Here is a 14,628-nt window from a genome sequence, read left to right as displayed (position 1 = left end):
ATAGTTTACTGAGAATGATGATTTCCAATTTCATCCATGTCCCTACAAAGGACATGAACTCATCATTTTTTATGGCTGCATAGTATTCCATGGTGTATATGTGCCACATTTTCTTAAACCAGTCTATGATTGTTGGACATTTGGGTTGGTTCCAAGTCTTTGCTATTGTGAAAAGCCAAAATTGACAAATGGGATCTAATTCAACTAAAGAGCTTCTGCACAGCAAAAGAAACTACCATCAGAGTGAACAGGCAACCTAAAAAATGGGAAAATTTTCACAACCTACTCATCTGACAAAGGGCTAATATCCAGAATCTACAATGAACTCAAACAAATTTACAAGAAGAAAACAAACAACCCCATCAAAAAGTGGGCAAAGGATATGAACAGACACTTCTCAAAAGAAGACATTTATGCAGCCAAAAGACACATGAAAAAATGCTCATCATCACTGGCCATCAGAGAAATGCACATCAAAACCACAGTGAGATACCATCTCACACCAGTTAGAATGGCAATCATTAAAAAGTCAGGAAACAACAGGTGCTGGAGAGGATGTGGAGAAATAGGAACACTTTTACACTGTTGGTGGGACTGTAAACTAGTTCAACCATTGTGGAAATCAGTGTGGCGATTCCTCAGGGATCTAGAACTAGACATACCATTTGACCCAGCCATCCCATTACTGGGTATATACCCAGAGGACTATAAATCATGCTACTATAAAGACACATGCACACATATGTTTACTGCGGCACTATTCACATTTTGTATCATTTTTCACCTGCAATGAATGAGAGTTGGTGCTTCTTGCTAGCATTTGCTATTATCAGGTTTTTGTTTTGCTGCTGTTATTTTAACCAATCTGATAGGTAGGCAGTGGCATTTCAGTGTGGTTTTAATTTGAATTTCCCTAACATTAAGCATTTTTGCTAGGCATATATCTTTGGAGAACATTTACTCAGATTTTAAAAATTGTGTTGCTGGTTTTCTTGCTGTTGAGTTTTAAGGGTTTTAAACCATATTTCTGGATACAACAACTCTACCAAATATGTGATGTGCAAATATTTTCTGCCAGTCTTTCTGAGGTGTCTTTTAATTCTCATACCAGTGTCTAAGCGAAAAGTTTTAATTTTGATAAAGCACAAATTATCAATTTGTTTCTTAATGGTTCATTGTTTTGGTATTGTATCTACCAACTCATCACCAAATCCAAGGTTACACAGAAGTTGTACTGCTTTCTTCTAGAACTTTGATATTTCTACATTTTACATTTACATCTATAATATACTTTGAGTTATTTTTGTATAAAATGTGAGGAGTATGTGTAGTTCATTTTTTGCATACGAATGTTCAGTTGTTTCAGCATCATTTGTTGAAAAAATTGTACTTTCTAGAATGAATTGACTTTGCATCTTTCTCAAAAAATAAGTTGACTACATTTGTGTTGGTCTAATTATGGGTTTTCTATTTTCCCCCACTGATGTATGTCTATGCTTACACCAATACCACATTATCATAATTCTGTAGCTTTTACAATAGTTATTGAAATCCAGCTGCATATGTGTTCCAATTCTGTTTTTTTTCAAAATTATTTTGGCTATTCTAGTTCCTTATCCTTCCCATATAAATTTTACAGTCTGTTTATTGATATTTATAGAAAAAACTTGCTGGAATTTTTACTGAGATTATGCTGAATTTTTAGATTCGGGATGAATCTGGTATATCCTCCATTTGTTTAGACATGTTATTCCTTTTATCTCTGTTTTATGATTTTTCATCATACAAGTCCTGCCCATATTTTTGCTAGATTTATGCATAAATACTCCTTCTAAGAGAGATGGTGCTATTGAAAATCAATATCCCAAAAGCTAATTGCTAGTAAACAGAAATACAATTGAATTTTTTATATTGACTTTACATCTTGCAACCTTGCTGAATTCTGTTATTAGTTTCAGGAGCTTTTGTGTAGATTGTAGGGTTTTCTTCATATATAGTCATGTTGTCTATAAAATGAGACAGTTTTATTTCTTATTTTCCTATCTGAATCCTCTTTTTTTTTCTTGTCTTATTGTACTGGTTAGGACTTCCAATATAATGTTGAATGAGAGTGATAAGACAAAACATCTTGCCTTATTCTTGATCTTAGGGGTAAAAAATTTAATCTCTTGATATTCAATATAATATTAGCAGCAGGGTTTTTTCATGTGCCTGCCCTTTATTAGGTTAAAGAGATTCCTTTCTATTCTTTTTATTCTGAGTTTTTTTAAATCATGAAAGAACGTAGAAATGTACTAAATGCTTTTACTGCATCTGTTGAAACAATCATGTGATGTTTCTTGTATAGTTTGTAAATACATCAAATTACATTAATTGGTTATCAAATGTTGAATGAGCTTTGCATTCCTGGGATGAACCCTACTTGGTCAGGATATTGTATTTTTTATATATATTGCTGAATTTAACTTAATAATATTTTGCTGAGAAATTTCTGTGTATATTCATGAGGTATTGTTCTGTATCTTCCATTTAATTTTCTTTCTCTAGTTTTGGTAACAGAGTATTGCTGGACTTATAGAATACATTAGAAAAAGTTCCTCTTCTATTTTCTGGAAGAAATTTTGAGGAATTTGTATGATTTCTTCTTTGAATCATACTGATCATAGCAAATAGTTCCTATTGCCATGCCTATATTATCAGTTATTTGTTATAGCTGTTCTAATAGGTGTGTAGTGATATCACATTATTGTTTAATTTGAAATTTCCCAATGACAAGTAAGGTTGAGCATCTTTGCATAAGCTTATTTTTATCTATATGTTTTCTTTAATGAGGTGTCTGTTAAGACCTTTTGCCCTGTTTTCATTGGTTATTTCACAACCTATTATTTAACTTGGCATGGTGGTATATGCCTGTAATCCCAACTACTTGAAAGAGTGGGGCAGAAGGAGTATTTGAGGTCAGGAGTTTGAAACCAACCGAGGCAGCATAATAAGCGGTAAAAAAAAAAAAAAAAAAAAAAAAAGAAGAAGTAAGAAATGTATTGTTTAACTTCCTATAATTGGGGATCTTCCAGATATCTTTTAAAAAAATTAGTAGTATAATCTGTAATTATTTGAGAACGTACTTGCTGTGATGTCCATTTTTCAAAATTCATTACAGTTTGTTTTGTTTTGTAGCCCAGAGTACAGTCTATGTTTGTGAATGGTCTATGTACACTTAAAAAGAATGTTTATTCTAAAGGTCTTTGGTGGAGTGATAAATGTCGATTAAATTAAGTTGTTTTATAATGTTTAAATCATTTATATCCTTATTGATGTTTTGGCTATTTGTTACATCAATAACTACAAAGGGGTGTTGAAGTCACCAATGATAATTGTGGCTTTGTTGGGTTTTGCTTCATGTATATTGAAGTTCTACTATTAAGTGCATACACCTTCAGAACTGTTATGTATGCCTGTAGAAGTTAACCCTTTATTATTCTGTAATGTCCCACTTTATTTCTAATAATATTTCTTATTCTGGAGCCTACTTTGACTGAATTTAATGTACTTACTGCAGCTTTTCTTGTGTGTTTGCATGGTATATCCTTATTCACACTTTTACGTTTAACCTGTGTCTTTATATTTGAATTGGCTCTCTTGTAGACAACATGTAACTAAGTCACACTTCTATATCCAAGCTAATAATGTTTGGCTTTTAACTGATAAATTTGGACAGTTAAAGTGATTATTGTTATGACTGCATTAAAATCTATCATCTTGGTAGTTGTTTTCTCTTTGTTCGACTTGCCCTTGCTTGCTGTTTTGCTCATCTCTGCCTTCTCTGAATTTAATTGAGCATGTTATAATTCCCTATTAATCTCTCCTAATTACTCATTATTTATATCTCTAATTTTAACAACTGATAATCAATTTACTGAAATAATTCATTCAAGCATCTGCAACGGTGACTACAGCCTCTACTCTTGGCTCAATACTGATGGAAAACATCAGAGTAATCTCAGAAGAACTGTGCAAGTCAATGAATCTGGTAGAGTCTCATCTAGAGACAATCCCAAGTCTCAGAACCTTCATCACTAAAAGTTTTTCTTGTAGTGAGTCTCAAAGACTAATTAAGCTTAACTTGAGATTTTTTGTCTTTAGAGCCTCTGATCAAGTCAGCAAACACCTTCTCCAGGGATTTTACATTGCAGCTGGGTAGGGTGATTCTAATTTGGTGAAACACCAACTATGGATTCCACTGACATCTTTCTGGCATCCTTAAAAGCCCTGGCTTTTAAGCATAACTTCTTGACCTACTTGTTCCCTTCCTGAGCATGAGAGCAGTGGTGACTCAGGAACAGGAAAGGCAGACCACAGTGGTGACAGTGTTTTCCTCAAAGAGGATTTATACCTGTTTTTTTAAAAAAAAAATTAGCTCTGTAATTGTTAATAAATCTAACTTCAAATAATATAATACCACTTAATATGCAATGTAACAGCATATTCCCAAGTCCTCCTAGTCTGTGTGTTATTCCATGGTTTTATATATTTTACTTCTATTAATGGTATAAACATATTTTTATAATTTTTGTTTTAAATAGTCCATTAACTTTTAGAGCAATTAAAAAATATTCAATTTCACTTTTGTTCTTAATTCTTTGTATAAATTCATGTTTCTGACTACATCTTATTTCTGCTACCTAAAGACATTCTTTAGCATTTCTTGTAGAGTAGGTCTGTGGCAATGTTACCTCAATTTTTGTTTGTTTGAGAAGATCTTTACTTCTGCTTAACTTTTAAAGGATATTTTTCCCAGGTGTAAGTTAGTTTTTTTTCCTTTCAGCACTACAAAGGCACCTTGCCATTGTCCATTTGTTTAAATGGTTTCTCATGAGAAGTCTACTACAACTCTTATCCTTCTTACATTTATGTAATGTGTCTTTTTTTTTTCTGGCTGCCTTCAAGGTTTTTCTACCTTCTTCTCCCTTTGTTCTTTAGAAAATCCATTTTTGCATAGGTTAGATAATGTGATTTTTTCTTACAGCTCTTGGATACTCTAATCTGTTTTTTATCACCCTTTATTTTTTCTTTGTTTTGCTTTGGGTAATTTCTATTGATTTAACCCTGTCTTCAATCTCACAGCCTCTTTATTCAACTATGTCAAATTCAAATCTACTGATGAAACTATTGAAGGTATTTTTCATCTGTTACCGAATTATTCTTTCCGATGATTTTTTTTTTTTTTTTTTTTGCAGTTCCTATGACTCTGCTCAAAGTATCTGCCTGGTCATGCATGTTGTCTTCTTTTTCCATTAAAGACTTTAACATAACAGGGGGCTTCAAGATGATTGACTAGAGGCACCTAGCACTTGCCACCTCCACAAAGAAGAATAAAAATACTGAATGGATAATGAAACTTTGAGTACAGCCTCTAAGAAAGAACACTAGAGTTCAGCAGAGAAGTGACAGAAAATGCCTTATGCACAGAGGGAGAAGGAAGTGAGGCAACCAGCCCAGCTAGTATCATCTGGGAGCCCAGAAAGCATCTCCAGTACAGGGAAATGGTAAATGAGAGATTTCCAGTGGTTCACATTCCCACCATGGAGACTCCTGCAGTCCTACCCAAAAAGAGCCCCTAGGCCTTTGCAGGTCCTGAGACTAATACACGGAGCTGCCTGGAGTCTCAGACAGCACTGCTCCAAAGAGGGAGCTCATGCTGGGTCCTACACTCCCTACCCCAAGACCCAAGCAGCTGTTACACAGCAGCACCATTTTGAGAGCCCAACTCCTACCAGATTGCATGTTGCCCTGGGGTCCAACATTCCCTACATATCTACATCCCTGGAGCCTCACTGACATTCCCCCATATCCTACTGGAAGGCTGCAGCAGTGTGGCAAGGTCCCAGCAATGTGGTAGGGTACCTAGCACTCTAGTGCACATATTATTATACACCCTAGGGAACAAGTATACAGCACAAGAAGGCTGCCACCAAAACAAAGGGAGCTGAAGCAAGTTCTCCCAAAGCCTGATAGCCACCTGCCTGGGACTACTGCCACTGACAGCAGCCCCACCTTCCCTGCACCACAGGCAACAAGCACTTGCATACACCCTGAGGACAGGCTCCCCCTGACCATCAATGAGGCTGCTACTACTACCCAAATACAATAACCCTGGAGCCTGAGGGTTGCCCCACCCTGCCCACCACAGTATATGCTTATATATGCCATCAGGTGGCAAAAGGACAAGCTCTCACGGCCTTGCACCACCCTTGCTCAGTCACCAAGAAAGTCACCTGGGGGCCTGAGGATTGCCCTTTCCCATCAGTCACTCTGGGAGCACATATACACCATAAAGGAGCCTCACAACAGGCTCAGAATGTCAGCTGCTGCTGGCCCCCAAACACAAACAGCTGGAAGCCTGGGGATAACCCTGCCCTGTGCATCATAGCTTGCACCTGTGTGTTTTATCAGGGGAGCTTGAAGACCAGCCCACCCCATCTGCCACCTTCCATTCCCTTGTCCAAGGACACCAACCAGGGGCCAAGGGATCACCCATTGGTCACCCCAGGCACATGTACACACCCCAAGGGTCCTAACAACAGGACCAGAAAACCTGCCGCTATCACCCAAACATGCTTTCCACAAGTCAGGGAATCATGTTAACCCATTCATCATCACTGACATCTGTGCACTCCTCCCACAGCCAGCCATGCCTGTCACCATCAGCACTGACACCTCCAAAATGTGCCACCTGGGGACTGGCCCACTCGGCCCAATGCAGCAACTGCTAACACCAGCACATGCCACCTGTGAGCCTGAGGGTTGACTGGTTATACTACTGCCATCACCTAAGCCATACAACCTGTCTACCCATCCAGCCCAGTGCTGCCACTACTGGCACCTGACCAAGCTGCCTGTAGGCCCAAGAACGGACCTGCCTAGACATGCTAAACCAAGACCCACATACACCATCCAGGGGCCCAAGGATAGGCATGCTAGCCCACATAGGACCTGAAAATTGGCCCAACTGGTGTCTCCAACCCCAGCAAAGTCTGACCATGGCCTCTATGAACAACTATAGGCTAAGTCACTGAGGAAATTGCTGACACCACTGATGCTATTTATAGCCAAGAAAAAAAATTATATGGAGACAACACTACTGTACACACTCAGAATGAAAGCTAAAGTGCTCTACCCAACCAGTACCATGGAAAACATCTTTAGAAAAAAAGTCTTCCCCTACAAAAGCCAATACAAGTAATTGAAAGAAGTAATACATACACCAGATGTGCAGATATCAATGTAAGGACACAAAAAAACCTGAAAAAGAAAAAAAATATGACACCTCCAAAGGAACACCAGCAACAGATTTGATAAAAAATAGAAATTTTTAAATCTTGGAAAAGAAATCAAAATAATGATATTAAGGAAGCTCAGTGAGCTATAAGAGGACACAGAAAAATAATATGAAGAAATCTGTATTAGTCTGTATTCACACTTCACACTGCTGATAAAAACATACCTGAGACTGAGAAGAAAAAGTGTTTTAATTGAACTTCAGTTCCATTTGGCTGGGGTGGCCTCAGAATCATGGTGGGAGGCGAAAGACACTTCATACATGGCAGCAGCAAGAGAAAATGAGAAAGAAGTGAAAGCGGAAACCCCAGATAAACCCATCAAATCTCATGAGACTTATTCACTATCACAAAAATAACACAGGAAAGACTAGCCCCCATGATTCCATTACCTCCCACTGGGTCCCTCCAACAAAACATGGGAATCCTGGGAGATAAAACTCAAGTTGAGATTTGGGTGGAGACACAGCCAAACCATATCAAAATCAGAAAAACAATTTAGGATATGAATGAAAAATTCACCAGAGATAAACATCATAAAAAATAACCAAACATAAATCCTAGAACTAAAGAATTTTTTAATGAAATAAAAATATAATTGAGAGTTTCAAAATTAGATTAGATCAAGCAAAAGAATTAACATTAGACTAGATTAACAATAGACTAGATCAAGTTACAAAACTTAAAGATGGGTCTTTTGAAATAACGCAGTTAGACAAAAATAAATAAATAAAAATGAACAAAGTCTATGTAACATAAAGGACACCATAAGGAGACCAAATATTCAAATTTTTGGTATTTCAGATAGAGATAAGGCCAAAGGCATAAAAAAGCTATGTAATGAAATAATAGCTGAAAACTTCCCAAATACACCAAGAGGTTTACCTATCCAAATAGAAGAAGCTCCAAGATCCCAAAGGGTCTTCTCCAAAGCACCTTAGAGTCAAATTGTCAAAAGTCAAATACAAAGATATAATTCTAAAATGAGTAACAGAAGGAATCTCCGTCAGATAATAGCAGATTTCTCAACAGAAATTTTACAGGCCAGGAGAGAATGGGATGACATATTCAAAGTGCTGAAAGAAAAAGAAAATGTCAATCAAGAATATCATACCCAGCAAAGTCAACCTCCATAGATGAAGGAGAAATAAAGTCTTTTCCAGGTGAGCAAAAATTCAAAGAATTCATCACCACTGAACAAGCCATACAAGAAATCCTTAGGGAAGTCCTAAACCTTGAAGTAAAAGGATAATATCTACCATTATGAAAATACATGAAAGTATAAAACTCCCTGGTAGAGCAAACACAAAAATGAGTGTGTGCAGTAGTGTTTTGCACAAAAATGAGGAAGAGAAAGATCTCAAATGTTACCACTACAAACACACACACACACACACACACAACACCAAAGCACAATGATAAACAGAAAGAAAAGAACAAAGGATAAACAAAACAACCAGAAAACATAAACGAAATGACAGAAGTCATCACTTATCAATAATAACCTTGAATACAAATGGATTAAATTTTCCACCTAAAACCTGTAGAAGATGGCCAACTAGATGCAGCCAGGTGGAACTTCTGCCATCAAGGAACTGGGATGACTGGTGTACTCCTAAGAGATCTTCAGAGGGAAGAAACTGAGAATGGAGGCGTGACCAGAAAGGGTCATAATGTGGACCCCAAGAGAGTTCTTTGATCTCAGGCAGGAAAGAATTTGAGGTGAATCCATAGAGTAAAGTGAAGGCGAGTTTTTAAGAAAGTCAAGGAATAAAAGAGTGGCTACTCCATAGGCACAGCAACAGTGTGGGCTGCTCAACTAAGATTACTTAAAATTATTTTTCAATTATATGCTAAACAAGGGGTGAAAAATTCATGAATTTTCCAGGCAAGAGGTAGGCAATTCCAGGAACTGAGAGCTCCTCCCCTTTTTAGACCATGTAGGATAACTTCCTGACATTGCCATGGCATTTGTAAACTGTCATGGTGCCAGTGGGAATGTCTTTTAGCATGCTAATGCATTATAATTAGCATATAATAAGTAATGCAGATGACCAGAGGTCACTTTCATAGACATCTTGGTTTTGGTGGGTGTTTTTTTTTTTTTTTTTTTGAGACAGAGTTTTGCTCTGTCGCCCAGGCTAGAGTGCCGTGGCACGATCTCGGCTCACTGCAAGCTCTGCCTACCAGGTTCACACCATTCTCATGGCTCAGCCTCCTGAGTAGCTGGGACTACAGATGCCAGCCACTGCACCTGGCTAATTTTTTGTATTTTTAGTAGAGACAGGGTTTCACCATGTTAGCCAGGATGGTCTCGATCTCCTGACCTCGTGATCCACCCACCTCAGCCTCCCAAAGTCCTGGGATTACAGGCGTGAGCCACCGTGCCCAGCCTGGTTTTGGTGGGTTTTAGCCAGCTTGTTTACTGCATCCTTTTATCAGCAAGGTCTTTGTGACCTATACCTTATGTCAACTTCCTAGCTCATCCTGAGACTTAGAATGCCTGACCTCAGGAGGGGCCCAGTGGCTCATGGCTGTAATCCCAGCACTTTGGGAGGCCAAGGCAGTTGGATCACCTGAGGTCAGGAGTTCGAGACCAGCCTAGCCAACATAGTGAAACCCCGTCTCTACTAAAAGCACAAAAATTAGCCAGGTGTGGTGGCAGGTGCCTGTAATCCCAGCTACTCAGGAGGCTGAGGCAGGAGAATTGCTTGAACCCGGGAGGTGGAGGTTGCAGTGAGCAGAGATTGTGCAAATGCACTCCAGCCTGGGTGACAAGAGCGAGACTCTGTCTGGAAAAAAAAAAAAAAAAAAAAAAAAAAAGAATGCCTAACCTCATGGGAATACAGCCCAGTAGGGCACAGTCTTATTTTACCCAACCCTTATTCAAGATGGAGTCACTGTGGTTCAAATGCCTCTGACAAATGGAGGGAAGCCACAGAAGCTGGGCTGAAAGGGGAGGAAGCTGGGAACCCTGCACAGAACTTCCATGCACAGAGACTGGCCCTTGATTCCGGGGAAATGGATGAGTTAAATTGGCAAGAAGGAACCTGCTCTTCCTATGGAATCCTGGCAGGAGGGCCCTTGGCCACCACGGACACTTGAGTTGTCAGGGAGAGATGCTTACAGAAGTGGTAGAGGTAGCATGACAGAAGATGTGGAACCCAAAGGGTTTGGTGCAGGAGCATCTATATTAGAACAGGGCTATATTTAGAAGACCCCATAGTCTAGGCCCAAAACTTCGTTAAGCTGATAAACAACTTCACAAAAGTCTCAGGATACAAAAGCAACATACAAAAATCACTAGCATTTCTATACACCAATGACCATCAAGCTGAGAGCCAAATCAGGAACACATTCCCATGCACGATTGCTGCAAAAAGAATAAAATACCTAGGGGAGGAAGGATGAAACAAGATGGCAGAATAGAAAGTTCCACTAAGGATCCCCACTACTACCCGCATAAGGACACAGAGCTAACAACTAACTACACAGGAAAAAAAACAAAAACAAAAACAAACAAACAAAGACCTTTTTAAGAACCAAAGATCAGGTAAACACTCATAGCACCTGTTTTTCACTACATATCTCTGAAAAAGGCACGGAAGAGATTAAAAAATAATAATAATAATAAACAGTCCTGAATCATGGACACCATCCCTCTTCTACCCCTAGCAGTGGTAGCCTGGTGTGCAGCATGTCTGGGCACTAAAGGAGGGAGAACACAGGAATTCTAAGGTATTGGACACAGTATTGTCCTGTTACAGCATAAAGGAAAATTGGACCAAACTTAACTGATGCCTGCCCATGGAGGCAGCATTTAAACCAGCCCTAGCCAGAGGGGAGTCCCTGATCCTAGAGGTGGGAACTTGAGTGTCTGCAAACCTCACCACAGAGGGCTAATCCAAGTAAACTTGAAAGGCAGTCTAGGTGGTAAGGACCACAACTCATAGGTGAGTCCTAGTGCTGAATAAGGCCCAGAGACAGTGGGCTGGGTGATGGTGGGGGCACATGACATACTGAGACAACAGCTGGGGCAGCCAAGGGAGTGCTAGCATCACCCCTCCCTTAACCCGAAGCTGCACAGCTCGTGGCTCCCAAAGAGACCCCTTCTTTCCACTTGAGGAAAGGGGATGAAAAAGTGGGGCAGACTTTGTCTTACATTTAAGGTGCCAACTCAGTCACAGCAGGACACGGCACCAGTCAGAGTTGTGATGCCACTGTTCCATACAAGTCCTAGCTTCCAGACAACACTTCTAAACATACTCTGGGCCAGAAGGAAAGCTGCTTCTTTGAAGGAAAGAACACAGTCTCGGCAGCATTCATCACCTGCTAACTAAAGAGCCTTTGGGCCCTGAATAACCAGCAGCAACACCCAGGTAATACATTGAGGGCCTTGGTTGAGCCTCTGAGACTTGCTGGCTTCAGGACAGACTCAATACATAACCAGCGGTGGTGGCTATGGGAGAAAAATTCGTCTGCTTGAGAAAAACAGCAGGAAAAATAAAAAGGACTTTGTCTTGCACCCTAGGTACCAGTATGGCCACAGTGAGTAGAGCACCAAGTGGGTTCTTAGGGTCCCCGATTCCAGGACTTGACTCTTGGATAGCATTTCTGAACCTGTCCTGAGCCAGAAGAGAGCCCACTGTTCTGAAGGGTGAGTCCCAGGCCAGCAGTATCCACCACAAGATGACTTAAGAGAACTTGAGGGAACATTGTCGGTAGCCTCGCAGTACTCCTCATGACCTGGTATAGCAATGGCTATGGGGTGAGGCTCCTCTGCTTTTGGAAAGAGGAAGGTTTGAGGGCCAGCTCAGCCACAATCCAATAGAACACAAGGTAGGCTTCTAAGGTTTCTGATTCTAGTCTCTGACACCTGGATGGCACTTCTGGACCCAACTGGGGTTTAGGGGACCTTGTCACCCTGAAGGGAAGGACACAGGCCTGGATGGCTTTACCACCTGTTGATTGTAGAGCCCCAGGCTTTGAGCAAACATAGGCAGTAGCCAGGGAGTGATTACAGCATGCTTTGGGTAAGACCCAGCACTCTGCTGCCTTCAGGTTTGGCCCAGCACAGTCATAGTTGTGGTGGCCACAGGGGTGCTTGTGTCACACCATCCCCAGCTTTAGGTGTCTTAGAAAAGAGAGACTCTATATGTTTTGGAGAAAGTAAGGGAAGAGAACAAGAGTCTGTATCTGGTAATCCAGAGAATTCTCTCATATCTTGTCCAAAACCATCAAGGTAGTACCTCTATGAGTCTGCAAAAACCAGTATTACTGGGCTTCTAGTGTCCCTAAAGCAGAAACAGCTTAGATCAGAAAACCCAAGTCTTTTCAAATACCTGGAAAGCCTTCCTAAGAGGGACAGCTACAAATAAGCCCACACAGTAAAGACTACAATAAATACCTAACCCTTCAATGCCAGACACTGAAAAACATCTACCAGCACCAACACCATCCAGGAAAACATGACCTCAACAAATGAGCTAAATAAGCTACCAGGGACCAATCCAGGAGAAAAAGAGACATGTGAGCTTACAGAGAGGGAATTCAGAATAGCCGTATTGAGGAAACAAATAAATTCAAGATAACACAGAGAAGGAATTGAGACTTCTATCAGATAAATTTCTCAAAGAGATTGAAATAATTAAAAAGAATTGAGCAGAAATTCTGGAACTTAAAAATGCAACTGGCATACTGAAGAATGCCTCAAAGTCCTTTAATAGCAGAATTAATGAAGCAGAAGAAAGAATTAGTGAGCTTGAAGACAGGTTATTTGAAAATACACAGTCAGAGGAGACAAAATTTTTTTAAAAAATGAGGGATGTCTACAGGATCTAGAAAACAGCCTCAAAAGGGCAGATGTAAGAGTTATTGGCCTTAAAGAGAGGGTAGAGAAAAAGATAGGGGTAAAGAGTTTAATCAAAGGGATAGTAACAGGGAGCAAACCAAAACTACAAAACAATATTAATATCCAAGTACAAGAAGGTTATAGAACACCAAGCAGATTTAACTGAAAGGAGACTACCTCCTACATTTAATAATCAAACTCCTAACAGCTAAGGATAAAGACAGGATCCTTTTCTCAATAAGAGAAAAGAAACAAATAACATAAAATGGAATTCCAATGCATCTGGCAGCAGACTTTTCAACCTTATAGGCCAGGAGAGAGTGGTATGACATATTTAAAGTGCTGAAGGAAAATTACTTTTACCCTAGAACAGTGTATCTAGTTAAAATATTCTTCAAACATAAAAAACAAATACAGACTTTCCAAGATAAACAAAAGCTGAGGGATTTCATCAATACCACACCTGTCTTACAAGAAATGCTAAAGGAAGTACTTCAATCAAAAAGAAAAGAATATTAATGAGCAATAACTAATCACGTGAATCTACAAAACTCACCGGTAATAGTAAGTACACAGAAAAACACAATATTTTAACACTGTAACTATGGTGTGTAAACTACTCCTATCCTAAGTAGAAAGACCAAACAATGAACCAATCAAAAATAATAACGACAACCACCTTTCAGGACATACTTGATATGATTTGGCTGTGTCCCCACCTAAATCTCATCTTGAATTGTAGCTCCCATAATCACCACATGTTGTAGGAGGGACCTGGTGAAAGATAACTGAATCATGGTGGCTGTTTCCTCCATAATGTTCTTGTGGTAGTAAATAAGTCTCGTAAGGTCTGATGATTTTCTAAGAGGGGAGCCCCTTTTGCTTGGCTCTCATTTCCTCTCTTGTCTGCTGCCGTAAGATGTGCCTTTCACCTTCTGCCATGATTGTGAGGCCTCCCCAGCCACATGGAACTGTGAATCCATTAAACCTCTTTTTCTTTATAAATTACCAAGTCTCAGGTATGTCTTTATCAGCAGCATGAGAACTGACTAATATGATATTCAATACAATAAGATACAAATAGAAACAAAAAAAGTTAAAAAGTGGAGGAATGAAGTTAAGGCATAGAGTTTTTATTAGTTTTCTTTTTGCTTATTTGTTTAAGCAAATTGTGTTAAGTTGTTATCAGATTTAAATAATGGGTTATAAGATAGTATTTGCAAGTTTCATGGAAACCTAAAACCAAAAACATACAATGGATATACAAAAATTAAAAAGAAAGTACCTAAACCATGTCACTAGAGAAAGTCACCATTACTAGAGGAAAATAGGAAAGAGAGTCACACAGAAGAGAGGGTCACAATACAACCAGAAAACAAATAACAAAATGTCACCAGTAAGTCTTTACTTATCAATAATAACATTGACTGTAAATGTAAC

The 14,628-nt window shown here is 39.3% G+C and overlaps 1 long non-coding RNA gene and 1 pseudogene across 2 annotated transcripts in view, besides 2 other annotated features; both read right to left on the bottom strand.

Moving 5' to 3' along the window:
- The window catches only part of MSC-AS1 (MSC antisense RNA 1), a 213,190-nt gene that overhangs the window by 156,050 nt on the left and 42,512 nt on the right, over nt 1-14,628 (bottom strand). The gene's annotated exons all lie outside the window — the stretch shown is intronic.
- RPS20P20 (ribosomal protein S20 pseudogene 20) lies at nt 3,931-4,268 on the bottom strand (annotated as a pseudogene).
- Nucleotides 5,626-5,705: a silencer, noted in NCBI's record as "silent region_19280". NCBI's record gives its function as "represses an Ori minimal core promoter by ATAC-STARR-seq in GM12878 lymphoblastoid cells {active_cell/tissue: GM12878}" and the evidence as "EXISTENCE:reporter gene assay evidence [ECO:0000049][PMID:35858748]".
- Nucleotides 6,846-7,105: an enhancer, noted in NCBI's record as "active region_27523". NCBI's record gives its function as "activates an Ori minimal core promoter by ATAC-STARR-seq in GM12878 lymphoblastoid cells {active_cell/tissue: GM12878}" and the evidence as "EXISTENCE:reporter gene assay evidence [ECO:0000049][PMID:35858748]".

The sequence above is a fragment of the Homo sapiens genome, chromosome 8, assembly GCF_000001405.40.
Source record: "Homo sapiens chromosome 8, GRCh38.p14 Primary Assembly".
Classification (NCBI taxonomy): Eukaryota; Metazoa; Chordata; class Mammalia; order Primates; family Hominidae; genus Homo; species Homo sapiens.
This window is presented reverse-complemented; position numbering and strand designations above follow the sequence as displayed.